The sequence below is a fragment of the Homo sapiens genome, chromosome X (assembly GCF_000001405.40).
Source record: "Homo sapiens chromosome X, GRCh38.p14 Primary Assembly".
Lineage (NCBI taxonomy): Eukaryota > Metazoa > Chordata > Mammalia > Primates > Hominidae > Homo > Homo sapiens.
This window is the reverse complement of record NC_000023.11, coordinates 125,199,331-125,213,798: the sequence shown is the minus strand read 5'-3', so window position 1 is coordinate 125,213,798 and position 14,468 is coordinate 125,199,331. Positions and strand designations below refer to the sequence as shown.

General features: G+C 42.2%; 1 protein-coding gene and 1 long non-coding RNA gene across 12 annotated transcripts in view; one reads left to right on the top strand and one right to left on the bottom strand.

The window, feature by feature from the left end:
• Nucleotides 5,679-9,339, bottom strand: LOC124905211 (uncharacterized). The gene is made up of 2 exons (XR_007068314.1): nucleotides 9,100-9,339; nucleotides 5,679-8,757 (listed from the first exon to the last, which is right to left on the bottom strand). It is a non-coding gene; the product is annotated as an uncharacterized LOC124905211 (long non-coding RNA).
• TENM1 (teneurin transmembrane protein 1) overlaps nucleotides 9,487-14,468 on the top strand; it is an 828,410-nt gene continuing 823,428 nt past the window's right edge. For 10 of the 11 annotated variants that reach the window (XM_017029210.3, XM_017029211.3, XM_047441760.1 and 7 more), the window contains exon 1: nucleotides 9,487-9,995. The gene's annotated coding sequence lies outside the window, so the exon portion shown is untranslated. Of the gene's footprint in view, nucleotides 10,000-14,468 lie in introns of all 11 variants that reach the window. The other variant, XM_017029213.3, reaches the window with a different exon arrangement.

The window sequence follows — 14,468 nt, the reverse complement described above, 5'->3', positions numbered from 1 at the left end:
TAGCTGGGCGTGGTGGTGGGCACCTGTAATCCCAGCTACTCGGGAGGCTGAGGCAGGAGAATCGCTTGAACCCGGGAGGCAGAGGTTGCAGTGAACCGAGATCGTGCCATTGCACTCCAGCCTGGACGACAAGAGCAATACTCCATCTCAAGAAAAAAAAAAAAAGAAAAAAAAAAAGAAAATGAATCTCACATAAATGTATAGATTGCTAGAAATAGAGAGGGAAGGACACTCCAAGTAGATGAAAGATTGTTTTGAACTGTAGAATAGGCTTTATTTACAATAGCATTTGAACAACAACAAAAAAAAGTAGACGGTTTCACTGTACCCAAGTGTCCATCTGATAGCCCGTGGAATAAACTGTACTTCACACAATTTCGAGAGAGAGAGTGATATGGTTTGACTGTGGCCCCACCGAAATCTCAACTTGAATTCTATCTCTCAGAATTGCCACGTGTTGTGGGAGGGACCTAGGGGGAGGTAATTGAATCAAGGGGGCCGGTCTTTCCTGTGCTTTTCTGTTGGTAGTGAATAAGTCTCACGAGATCTGATGGGTTTATCGGGGGTTTTTGCTTTTATTTCTTTGTCATTTTCTCTTGCTGCTGCCATGTGAGAAGAGCCTTTTGCCTCCTGCCATGATTCTGAGGCCTCTCCAGCCACGTGGAACTGTAAGTTCAATTAAACCTTTTTTTGTTCCCAGTTTCCGGTATGTCTTTATCAGCTGCGTGAAAACAAACGAATACCAAGAACAACAGTAACCTGCAGCACCTAGAACTTCAACTAAGGCATCCAAGTAGCCTAGAATATTGATGAGCCTACTTTTTGGTGGTAGGTGACTCCTACCTATGCCCATCCTGTGATTGAAATGTCTTTGGTGGTAAAACAAAGTGGTCCAGGAGGAGTCTGCACTATTATAATGATATTAATTAAAAAATGTGTTAATTGCAAATTTAGAGATAAAAAGGATCAGACCTTTAAAATGAAAAGTAAGGATAGGTATGGGATGTGTAAGGCAAAATAGTTCTGTTATGTTTTTAATAATATATTTTTGATTATGAAGTAATGCATGTTTATTATAGAAAACAATATACGAAAGAAAATTAAAACTGCTGGCAACCCCATGAATCACTATTAATATTGTAATTTATTTTTCCCAGTTTTTTCCCCATGCCTCTATTTATAAATATTTTTGCTTTAGTCTATTCATATAAAGTTGGGGTTATACCCTTTTGTAATCTCCAATTTTTCCTATTTAAAATATATACAGAATCAGTTCAGTTTTTAAAAAGTTGAGCTTCAGGTAATTGTGAAATATTAATGAGGAAATGTCCAGCCAGCTGTTAGAGATGGAGTCTAGGAGAAATGTTGAAAAAAGGTCTGGAAGATGTCAATCTATAAGTAATTATTGAAGCCTGGAAATGGGGTGATATCATCCACACTTTTTCACAGGGTGAGTTACTGGGTTAAGAAGGCAATTGATAAGGTTGGAATAGGATAGATAATTTCAGAATGTATCACATAGCAGTTATAAGTATTCACGCTGGATTGCAATATAAAAATCAATTTCTAATTGTGAGTCTAAGGACTAATCCTTTAGAAACAGTAGAATATACTGACAGGACAGAAACCATAACTAGTTTTAAGAAAATAGGATCAAAGGTTGGCATTGGTCTCTGGGCCCCTTTACAGTCTTTAAAATTACTGATGACCCCAAAGTGCTGTTGTCCCTGTGAGTTATACCTATTGATATTCGTGTATCAGAAGTTAAAACATAAATTAAATATTTATGTATTGATTCACTTAAAATAACAGTAATAAACCCATTACATGTTAACATAAATAGTATCTTCATGAAAAATTGCTATATTTTGTGAAACAAAAAATTATTGAGCAGCCATTAAAAGGAATGAAATCATATCCTTTCCAGCAACATGGATGGATCGGAAGGCCATGATTTTCAATGGAATAACTCAGAAACAGAAAGTAAAAAAACACACGTTCTAAGTTATAAGTGGGAGCTAAACAATGGGTACATCTGGGCAAAAAGACAGAAATAATAGACACTGGGGACTCCAAAAGAGGGGACAGCTGGAGGGAGGCCAGAGTTGAAAAATTATCTATTCACTACAATATTTACTATGTGAGTAATGGGTACACTAGAAGCTCAATCCCCACCAGTATGCAATATACCCATATAATAAACATGCACATGTTCACCGTGAATGTAAAATAAAATAATTGAGAGGGGTGGTATCATGATCTTTAATGCCTGGCTTAACAAAACACAGCTGAAATCTCATCTCTGCTTCTGCATTCAGTTAATTGATGATGCACACATGTAAGAAAATGTGAGTGGACCAGGCGTGGTGGCTCATGCCTGTAATCCCAGCATTTGGGAGGCCGAGGAGGGTGGATCACAAGATCAAGAGATGGAGACCACCCTGGCCAACATAGTGAAACGTCGTCCCCACTAAAAATAGAAAAATTAGCTGGGTGTGGTGGTGCGCGCCTGTAGTCCCAGCTACTCGGGAGGCTGAGGCAGGAGAATCGCTTGAACCTGGGAAACAGAGGCTGCAGTGAGCCAAGATTGCACCACTGCACTCCATCCTGGTGACAGAGTGAGACTGCATCTCAAAAAAAAAAAAAAAAAGAAAAAAAAGAAAATGTGAGTGAAAAAAACATAATGTCTTTTATTTGTTTGTTTTCTGAGACAGGGTCTTTGTTCCCAGGATGGAGTGTAGTGGTGAGATCATAGCTCACAGCAGCCTAAACCTCCCAGGCTCAACTGATCCTCCTGCCTTAGCCTCCCATATAGCTGGGACTACAGGCACACATCATCACACCTGGCTGATTTTTAAAAATATTTTATAGAGACAGGATCTCACTGTGTTGCCCAAGCTTGTCTCAAACTCCTGGGTTGAAGCAATCCTCCCACCTTGGCCTCCCAAAATGCTGAGATTACAGGCATGAGCCATCACACTCTGTCAACAAATAATATGTTAGTATTAGGAAAATAAGTTTAACTGCACAGACACCCTAAAAGGCTCTAAGGGGCCTCCGGGGGACTCCTGACCATACTTTAAGAACAGATAGCATATGACATAGAGAGGTCAGGAAGATTAAGGATAGAAAATGTTTTATTGAGCATTAGCAAGTGTAAGGATTTGAATGACAGGGGTAAAGATCCTATCAACGGTATATCAGATCATAACATATCTTCCCTCCTTTCCTGACTTCCTGTGGTCCTTAGGGCAAAATCCAAAATCTTTATCAAGGCCCTTGAGGTCTTGGATGTTTTGGCTCCTTTCTGCCTCTCCTGCCTCATCTTACATCACTTCCTCCCCTACATTATTATGCTCCTTACCCTCTAGGTGCACAGGCTGACCTTGCATTATTTGAGGTACCAAGACATTCCTTACATCAAATACCATAGATTCTGTTCTCTCTGCCTGGAATGCCAATTACTCCACATTCTTCAGGCCTCAGATTAATAGCCACTGCCTCAGGAATGCCTACCCAACCACCTCAACCTCAATTGAAATGGGTCTCCTCTGTTGTTCTCTTGCAAATACCTTGTTCTGTTCCTTCAGAACACCCATCAGTTTAGAACTACATATTTCGTTGTATGATTGGTTCTGTTTGTCTCCTACCAGTAGTCTGTAAACTCTACAAGGGCAAGAATATGTATGTTTTGTTTACCACTGTCTTCCCAGTACTTAGCACCGAATAGGCACATAGCAGGTATTCTGTAAATCTTTACTTAGTGAAAGTATAAATGAGAGAATGAAGATACATACGGGGAGCCTATTTTCTTAGTCTGAGAAGAAATTATTCATGTTTATTGTGTTGTATGGAAAATGATAACATCCTAGTTCCAAATTTTCATTTAAAATGCCTTTTAAATCTGCTTATGAAGGACTATCCTAATAATTGTTAGCATTTGTTAGTAATTGTTAATGTATGTGACTATAAAAGTCTTCTTATGGCCATTATTAAGCATGTGTTTTAGAAGCACTAAATATTTTAGTTATTTCAATACAAATTAGTAGTTACCTGTATAAGTCAATCACAATAATTCACTTAAAAGATTATGATAATGAGGTCACAAAGTTAGAGAGAAGTTCAAGTGCATTTAAATGCCAACCGAGTAATACTAATTGTTCTATACTCTTTTCAAGTTCTTTTCCTGGAGTGTAATTTTATCTCTTAAGGAGAAATCACGGTACATTTTGAAATCAATTTTTTTCCCCTTTTCAACAACTGTGATAGTTAAAAAATGCTAAAAAGTAATATTCTTAAAAGTATTTCCAATAAAAAGACAAACACTAGCATTAAGTCAGCTTTCAGATCTTCAAGGGAAGGCACTATGTTATCTTTATGAGGGTATAAATTATTATTATTGCCATATTGGTTTATGTGTATGGATAGTGAATATAAGTGAATTTTATATAAATTAAGGACCAAGGTACCATTTTTAAAACTATCTATAAATTTAAATTTAGGCAGTTATTTGAATCCATTATAGCAATAATACAAATGAATTGCCACTGCACCCTATTGAGAAGCTTTGGTTTCTGAAGGTTATGATTAGTCTGTATTAGGGATGTATTTTATTCTGAGAGTAAGGTAAAGCAGCATTGATGGAGCCTTTCCAGTGAGGGATATTATATATGAATGTACACTTCCATGAGCAGAACTTGCTGTGTGGAATACAAAGTGCCTTGCTAAAGCCCAAACTTTTTTTTAAAGGCATTTTGTTTCTCCTTCGCACTCTGGCCAGAGAAGTAGCTCCACAGGGTCCATTTGGATACTAAATAGGATTAGGTAAAGAGAAGACTTTAATTGGCTTGCCAGTTGTTTTCCTGAGCCTTACTTGGGTATGTGAAAAATAGTGTGTCTGACTCTGTTCTGAACAGATGGATGCAGAATCCTGGCCACCAACTGTTCATATCCAGGCTCAAATAAGCTTCCTCCAAGGTGGCTGCTTTCCCCAGGGGGAGCCCACAGCTGGCCGGAAATGGGCACTCCCTTGCAGCAAGCTGGTGACTGCAATTTTACAGCCCTGTTTATGGAAGCTGTTTGGGTAGAAAATCATTAAGCTACCTTTCCTGCTTCCAATCATTGTAGCCAAAAGTTAAGGTGCCAGCACTACTCATAATCTCTGCTAGTTGATCTCTGGATGGTGTTGTTATCAGTTGAAATAGGAAATAATAGTCTACCACAACGAGTACATGTTGAAATTATGCCTTTGAAAACATCTTGCCATTAGACAAGCAACCAAACAAAACTCCTTCATTTCAGATGGTGCACATTGATTTTGTTTATGTAATTGATATTGACTTTAGTCTTCTAATATTGATATGGTTTGGTTGTGTTCCCACCAAATCTCATGTTGAATAGTAGTCCCCATAATCTCTGTGTTTCATGGGAGAGATCCTGTGGGTGGTAACTGAATATAGGGGTGGTTGCCTCCATGCTATTCTTGTGATAGTGAGTGAGTTCTCATGAGATCTGATGGATTTATAATGGGGGGCTTTTCCACCTTTTGCTCTGCACTTCTCCTTGCTGCCACCATGTGAAGAAGGACATGTTTGTTTCCCCTTCCACCATGATTGTAAGTTTCCTGAGACCTCCCCAGCCATGCTGAACTGTGAGTACAATGAAACTTCTTTCCTGTATAAGTTACTTAATCTCAGGTATGTCTTTATTGGCAGCGTGAGAATAGACTAATACAAATATTATTGTACTTACATTCTTATTATGAGGGTACTTAGAAACAAAACTGACATGTCATATTTTCCATTATGCATTCTTCTCACAGAATGCAACCTATAGATTAAAAATATATTTAAAAAATCAAGGCCAGAACATCTAAATATTGTTCTCTAGGAGTGAAATAGTCTAGATACACGGTAACAGTCACACAGTATATACTTGTTGATTAGCAAATTGTTCACACATCTTTGAACATTTCTTAGCTTCTTTAAGTCTCAATTTCTTTGCCTATTCCCAATGCTGGCACAGTTCCTGGAATATAGTAGATGTTCCATAATCACTTGCTGAATTGAATTTATGTAATTACATTAGTTTTGGGAATAAACATAAAAAGGTGTATGAGTGCATGTGTGTGTGTGTGTCTTTGTTAACAAAAAGGTATATATCTTAAAATTCCTAGCAAATTATTTTAATAATATACACTTGGCAACTGGACAACTGTCATATAGAGATTGCATGCTCCATTACAATCTGTTATATTTACATTGGCTATTCTGAAACTAGCAATTTAGTGTGTCTTCTTCCTGATATTCATATTTGAAATAGAAATTCTTGGTCCCATGAGCAAAACTACTTGAAAATTCTGCAATTTCATGTTGCTTAAATGTGTCTGGGGAATCTCTAAAGTTGAATAAATGCCTTAGGAAATCCACCTACAATATCAGGATATAGGCGTCTAGAAGCAGCAAATCAGTTCTTAGGAAACAGAGAAAAGTGACAGAGCCCTCTGTACTTCGGAATTAGGACTGGAAACAATGTTTTGAAGGAACTAAAGGGAGACAGGTGCAGACCAAATGAATTAAGGACACCAGGGAGCCACAGGAGACCAGTAAGGAAATGAGAGGGAAGAATGCTAGAGAAAATACAGCATAAAGAGGAGGTGGTAGAGAATTTCTAAAAAAAAATGATTACAGGGACTGCTGAATTGCCAGGAGAGAAACAAACTCGGCCTCCTTTCATGAAATCCCTAAGTATCAACTCTCCCTTTCTGCCAGTATCTTCAAGAAGAGTAACAAAGGAACAGCAAGAATGAGAGTGAGATAATCATGCTTTTAAATTCATATTCCATTTCCTTGGTCATTAGGGTTTGTCCATGTCCCATTTGGCCAGAATTCCCTTTTTGTTATGGGGAGTTCTTTTCTTAATCGCTGGTTACGGAAACACCCAGAGTATTTCCAGTCATTGGAGAAGTGACTGGCCAGATGTTTCTTTTTTTTCTCCTTCCAGAACTCTTTGGTAAGGATTGAGGAGGTATCCTGAAAGTCTTCCTTCCACAGTTCAGGGTTTGGGCAGTTCATAATGTGGAATCTTTATTTAGGATACTTAAATCTATATATGTTTATACAAATAACTTGTTTTTGTTTTGTAGGAGGGTAGTGGGTTTTAGGAAGGTTTCGTTTACATATTTGTGGCAAGACACAGGTTTTATACCCATCCTTTCACTACTGCTTTCTCAACAGCCCAACAGAGAGCCGGTGATAGAAGCAGTTGCTATGCCCCTACAGAGCCTGGTTGTCATCTTTTGTTTCTTTGTTGGCAGGGCGGTGGGGCGGGACGGGAGTGGGAGGGTGTTGAGCCGCAGGGATCCAAATGATTCCTGCCTGAAGCTGAAGACCTTGTTGGGAAGGGACGATGGGAATAAACGTGCTCTTGATTCCCTGATTCTTCCCCCTAGAGTGTTCAGCTCTTTGTATTTCCTCCCCTTGGTGGTGTGATGGTCTTACAATGCTCCCTCTTTGCAAATACCTATATCAAAAGCTGGGAAAATGGGAACACACGGTTCAGAGAACTCCCCCTGGCGTCACTCTGTACTACCTCTCTTTCTGAAACTGAATCTGGTCCCCCTGCTCAGGAGCACAGAGACCAGCCCGGAAGCCGACCTTGGGCAGCTGCCGCCACCCAGGGAAGGGAACAGTTGGAAGCTTTGGTGTTCGCCCACCGCGCCAAGAGGAACTCTTCCCGGTAACTAGCACCAGCCACGACTCCAAGCCTGCCTTATTGTAACCTCTAGCGGGTTCCCAACTCGGCAATAGCTTCTCGCTCTCCTGTCCCTGTTCTTGCGGAGGAAAATTTAAAACGTGCGTGCACATATACGCATTCACACACGCCCTTCTTTCTTTACTTAAAAAAAAAAAAATCAGTAAACGTCCTTCGCCCAAAGAATGTTCGACTCTTCACGCTCTCTTTTCTTTACCTAGAGGTCAGCAGTCCCTTGGGAGCACACGCGGTGCTCCCTAGCTGCTCTGCGCGCCCCCTACCTGCCTACGGCTGGGGTGGCACCGCGGGGCAGGAGGCCTGGGAATCCGCTAGACTCCTATTTCTCCAGTTTGTGCAGCTCCCCTGGCTCGGCACTTGGTATCTCCCACGGTCTTGCTCTCTGTGGGAAGCCGGAAAGAAGACTGCTGTGGGCGTCGCCGCCACCCCTCCCGGAACCAGAGCCTGCTCTAGCGTGCATCCAAGCCTCCTACTTCAGACTCACATCTGGCCCAGTCGGACAGATGTTAGCCGCTGGAGAGTGCCTCCATGCGAAGCGCCCCAAGTCCCGAGCATGCCCAGTCGGACTACTAAGGCTTCTGACGCGAGTTTCTGGGCGTGCAGATTCCGCTTCTCCGCTTTTTCGAGGAAGCTGAGGAGGGTTGGGAGGGAGGGAGGGATCCAGGGCTTGGGGCAGCGCGCTGGGTTCGCCCGAGTACGTGCCCTGGTGCCAGGCTGGGTGAGGGGCGGAGCCGTTTAGGGAGCCCAGGAACCTGGGCGGCCAGGCAGGGCAGGATCCCTTAGCGCTCCCCTCTTCCCCCAACCACCTTCAGGTGGACGTCGTTACTGCTGATCTGATGCGCCGCCAGTAGGCTGCATGTGGCCGGCCGGCCTTGGCGCTCTGGGGTCACACTGTCAGCAGGACGCAGTCGGCGGTGCACTCTCACCGACAGACGCACGAGAGCTTGTGGGTCGCTTATGCACCGCATTCACGGGCTTTTGGCTTTTCTGGAAGGCGGGGGAGAGGAGAATAAGAAAAGGAAACCAAACAATTTCTCTCCCCCCGCCCTTTTTTTTTTTTTTTTGCCAAAGTTATACTGGCAAAAGACTTCGCATTCTAAGTCAGTCCTGAGGCTTTGAACATAGAAGCAGTGATTGTGCTCCTGTGTGTGCGCTCGTGTGCGCGCGCGTGTGTGTGCACGCGATGTTTGTGTATGTCATGACTAGGTAACACTGTCCCAGGCTGATCCTGGGGTTGACAAATACTCATCCGAACCCCCCACCCCACCCCTCACCCTCAGGAGAAAGTAATTAAAAAAAAAAAAAAAAAAAAAACATCGAGTGAGTCACCTGGCCAGGCATCTATCCACTGTAGTAGGAAATCTAAATTTTGTTGATCCATATTTCCTTCCTCTGCTTCCATATCCAGCTTTCTCCTTCCCCTCTCCACCCTATAACACCCTGATCTTTCTCATTGCGACTTCCCTTCCTCTGCCCGATACTTGCTCCTTAAGCCCTTCTCCTCTTTCTCCTCCTCCTCCTCTCCCTCTCCTCCTCCCCCCACCTCCCTCCACCTCCCATCTCAGCTGCGGCTAAAACCTGGAGTCTTGGGGAAAAGGAGAAAAAAAAAAAAACCTCGGCTGTGAAGCTGTCAAACCGGGCATGCTCAGTAGACAGGGCAGGTTTTTTGGTCTCGAGTAGCGGAGAAACATTTTTTGCACCACCGCGACCAGCCTTAGAGCGCGGCGGCGGCGGCCACGGCAACATCAGCCCAGCCATCAGCCGAGCAGACGCCCAGCACCCGGGAGCGCGGCGAGCTTCGGCTCAGCCCGGAGTTCACCTCCGAGTGCCCCGGGGGCTGAGCTCACCCCTTCTGCTCTCTCACACACGAACACTCTCTTTCACTCACACACACACACGTATTCACACTCTCTCGCACACACATAGGACCCTGGGCGCAAGCACCCTTCTGGCAGCGGTCGTCCGCTGGTGCAATAGTAGCTAGGTTCGGTTCCTGCCTCCGGCGGCCGCCGGTTTAGAGCACCGCTGCCAGCAGCCGGAGGAGAGCAATGCGGGGGCCCGAGCGGCAGCTCGAACAGTAATGTGGATTTACAGTCGTTTCCCGCAGGAGTCGGCCGAGACGCCCTAAGTCCCGGGCACTGGCAGCGCCCGGCGGAGCCGAGCACCTGGCGAGGGGGCGGGGGAACAGCACCTGGGGACGCCGCCGAAACTTGCGCTTGGAATAGGTAGGTGCGTTTCTCCTGGCTCCCACCCCATTCCTTCTCGCTCCCGCCCGCCACCCCCAACCTTCTACCCCAAGGACTACAGGCGAACTTCGCCCCGAGGCTGCAGGCGGCGGATGGCGGCTCCTGGCTGTTAGCGGCCGGTTGAGTCCGCTCTGGGACTCCTGCCCGAGGTGGCAGAGCCTCCGCATCCTTCTTCTCCCGGTCTCCGCCGGCCATGGGGCTCTGGACCATCTGGGGCAGAAGGGAGGTCGGCCTTGTTCGCAGTTCAAGCTTCCAGCGGGCCCTGGGGACGCTGCCCTTCGAGGGCTCGCTGGGCTTCCCAGGCGGCACTTTTACCAACCAACTCCTTCAGTTCTGAGAGGGAGCCTCCTCGCCTCGGCTCTCGCGCAGAGCCCAGTCACTCTAACAAGTGGACCTGGGTGCTTGGGGTGAGGATGGGAGGCTCGGTCTAAAAAGAAAGAAAGGGGCGCTTCTCTGGCATCCCTCCCACCCTGGAGCGTTCGCCTGGGGCTCTGCCACTGGGGTCCAGGTCCTGCTGTCTCCGCAGAGAATATGCCCAAGGGCTAGGACGCACTTTAGTACCTGTTTGCTTCTGAATTTCTATTTGAGCCTCACTCAGGGAGCCCGGGTTCCCGGGGGAACTGCAGGACCTCCTAACCTACGCCGCCGTCGAGGGCCCCACCCGATGCGTCCTCCCTATACCTTTGTCAATCTTTGTCAAAAGAGATAGTCATTACAACCCAGGCGGTGCTCCAGGAGCCGTCGGTGTTGACTTTAACCATGCGCTCCAATGTGCGGGTTTGTGTGTTTCCGCATTTCATCCAGAGACTTGGTCCCCGAGATTCAGCAACGGCCAGCATATCTGCGAGCGCCAAGCACCCGCTAGGCAGGCTTGGGGAAATGTAACCTCACTTTCTTCCACTCCATAACAGGAGGATTGCCAATTTAGTTTCAGGATGCTTTGCCTAGAGGCGGAGAAGGGGAGATTGTTAGCGCTACTTGGTGAGTGGATGTGTTTGCAGTCAGGAGTGTATTTAAACATTTCAGTGAACCCGATGCAGTCAGTTGTTTACAATTGCGGAGACAGAGGATCTCACTCCACTAGTAGATGTTTCCACGTCTGTGTCGCCACTGGGAGAGTAGGGGCGGGGGCGGGGGCTGGTTTGCAGCTCGTACTCGCCGTCGGCAGCTTCGGGTTGAGCAGATCTGCATCACTGCTACTGGCGATATGCTAATAGGGGTAGAAAAGCTCTACATCTCCAATATGAAGCAATTGGTCAGTAAACGTCCTGAACTTAACCGTTGTTTTCCTGGGATACCAACCTGGAGGTGTTTTTGAGGTGGCCCAAAGAAATACAAAGAGAAGTTCTCAGTGCTACAGAAAGGAAATTAGTAGCCATTTGGTTTTAAAGACCAAAAGGAAACGAAACATCCCAGTGCACTCTAATAGGTACTGTTAGATTAGCGTTTAATTGATCGCGTTTGTGACGAGTAAGTGTCGCAGACAGCTTCCTTGAATTTTAGACTCTTGTTCTATGATTATAATTAACAAGCCAGGTAACAATGTACTGTGAGAATCAATTGCTACTCTTAACGTGTTTGAGGAGAACATGGCAAATGTCTGCTCTATTATATTTTTTGGCTGAAATAGCCCAGTTCATCTTCCTAGTCCGAAGTCTTCTGATCTGGAGCAGTAGATACTCCAGTGTTACCAAGAAAGGGAAGAGTCTAAGAGGGAAAGGCTTAAAAAACAAAATTAATGAAAAGGCGATCCACACCTTTAACTTCTGCTCCATGATTACCCAGCATCTGCTTGCTTGCTCACCCCCGCTCCTTGCTCTTCATATCTGCAACGTGGGGAAAAATGAATTTTCATAAGGCATAGTAAGACCCTCAAAGTACATAACTGGAGAAACAGAATCCCAATTTTGCCATTTTAGTTCAAGTTCATAACACTATTTTGTGATGCATTAAATAATTTACTATGGCAAAGTTGGGGTTTTTAAGAGTAATTAAAAGCTTTCAGGTATGACAAAATAATGTTGAAAACTTTTCATGATTAAAGAAAGTCGAAATATGCATTTAAAAAGGGATCAGGTAATTCCTAAAATAAATCCATGCTCTAAATATTATTTAAAAGTTTTCAGGTTGTTCCCCAGAATGTTTCTGAAAAACAGGTGTTTCTATAAAACAACTCTATGAAGAAATGTTAACATTTTCATAATAAAACTAGTAGAGTCCAGTCCTGAGAACAATGTCAGCTATACATAGCAGAAAAAAACCCCACAAATATTTTTGCATACATGAAGTAGTATTTTCCATTAGGTTTAGGTTCCAATTATGAATTAGGGACAGTCATGTCATTTGACAAAATATACAGTGAGGCTAAAGGAAAGAATGCTTTGTAGAATCATTGTGCTGTAAAGGTGATTAAGATTTCAAATATTCAAACGTTTAGGTGTATTAAAATAAAATTGTATTATACATAACTATCATCACATTCAAAGGCCTAATTCAGTCTGAATACCCTAGAATTCTCAGTGTTTCAATTCAGCTATTATATGTGTAAATAACACCGACATAATCATAGTTTCCCTCATAGTCATTGATCCTTTCTGATACCTTTACCAGAAAGATTCTTGCTGAAGCAGAACAGTCTAGCATTCAAGTTTATTCTATACAATATTACTTTAAATTGTCAAACTGCAAAACATTCCTGATATGTTGTTTCTGAAAACAGAAAACTTAGTGGAAATTTATTTTCTGTGACAGCCTTAAAAACTTGGAAGTAGTAAGAAATTTTAGTGTTAATTAATAAAACAAACATTTTTCATATTCTATGTTAGAGATAGACATTTGGAGTCCATATAATTTTTGCTTGAAGCTTGCTTTTCCTAAGTCATTCAGTTTCAGATTTAAGTAAAGCTATCAAGTAGTTGGTATAGATTATGGTTAATAAATTCCCTAAAGTTTCCCAAAACAAGTTAATTATTATTATTTATGCATTTATTTATTTACTTACTTATAAATGACCAGAGGTCAAAAGAAGACCAGTACTTTGAATAACTGAGTCAGTGATTAATTTTTTTGATGAAAACAAATTTTCTTATAGTACTCATATTTGTTCTCTCTCTCTCTCTCTCTCTCTCACACACACACACACACACACACACGGAAGCAATTGCTTGTGAATGCCTTGAATCAGATATAAAACATGTACAATAGCTTTATTAAAATTATATATATTTGTTAAATTGCTGTGGATTTTAACCACAAAATTAATAATCCATGCGTACTTAAAAAGCTTCCCATCACTTAACATTTAGAAGAAAGGTTTAAACTGGATTCCTAGTATGACTACAGGCAGATGAAAAATATTGTAAGGTACAGAATTTAGCAATTGTGACCAACAGCATATACCCACGACTGGAAGTGTAACTGCTGATTATAAAAATTAAAAGGAATCAAATTTCAGAAATGCTCACATATACCACAATTTCTTTAAATCTTCTACAGCTTCTGAGTGTTAGATTAAATCACTACTTTGAATGGAGATTGCTATTATTTTTCCTTCCCCTAAAAGGTAAAAATATTCTGAATCCTGGCTTAATATATTATTTTTATTCCTTTCTGTTTTCCATTGATTTTTTTTAGAACAGAGGAAAGTAAATATCAAATATAACCAGCTAGAACCATGCTTAGTTTGAGCAGGTGAATGCTATAAAAGGCTTCACACAGCTTTTAATTATTCTTAACAACCTTGATGACCAACCATAGGTGTCTGTTCAGTATTCGGTGCTCTGTTATGGCAATTTATATAATGTATAGAGATTTTGTAGTTTGCTAGACGTGCTGTGGTACAATTTAGCAAGACCAGCAAAATTGCTTACATTTGGAACCCATGAAAAATAGGGCTGAGGAAATTGGAATATGATGGCATAGACTGAAAATTATTATATAACAATATTTATATCAATTGCAATGCTAACATTTCTGTATAGAAATTAAGCTAATTTAAATTTGAAAAGTAAATATTTTTACAGGTGACATGGATCCCTAATATTTTAAAATAGTAACTTAGAGTCTAATAAATGAAGTCTATTAGATTTTTATGTAACTTCAGGACCCATTTCAAGGCCTGGAAGTATAATCTTGGATAATTTACAACTTAAAAAATTATTCTAAATTGTACTTCCTGTCCGAGCCTCCACTTTAGGTAAACAATAGCATATGGTGAAACATGCATATATGCCAACTAACCACTACCTCTTGGATGATGTTTTTAATGTGATGTAATGATTCTGAAATATTGGATTCTCCACCCCCGCTCTATTCTAACTGTAAGAGTGGAGAAGCTAATTGGAAAATGGACACATAAAAACATGTTAAAAATCTCTTTTCACATGGGTGGATAATCCCCTATGAAGTTCTTACCTGGGAGCCTTTATATTTCTGTTTATGGTAGATATGTGC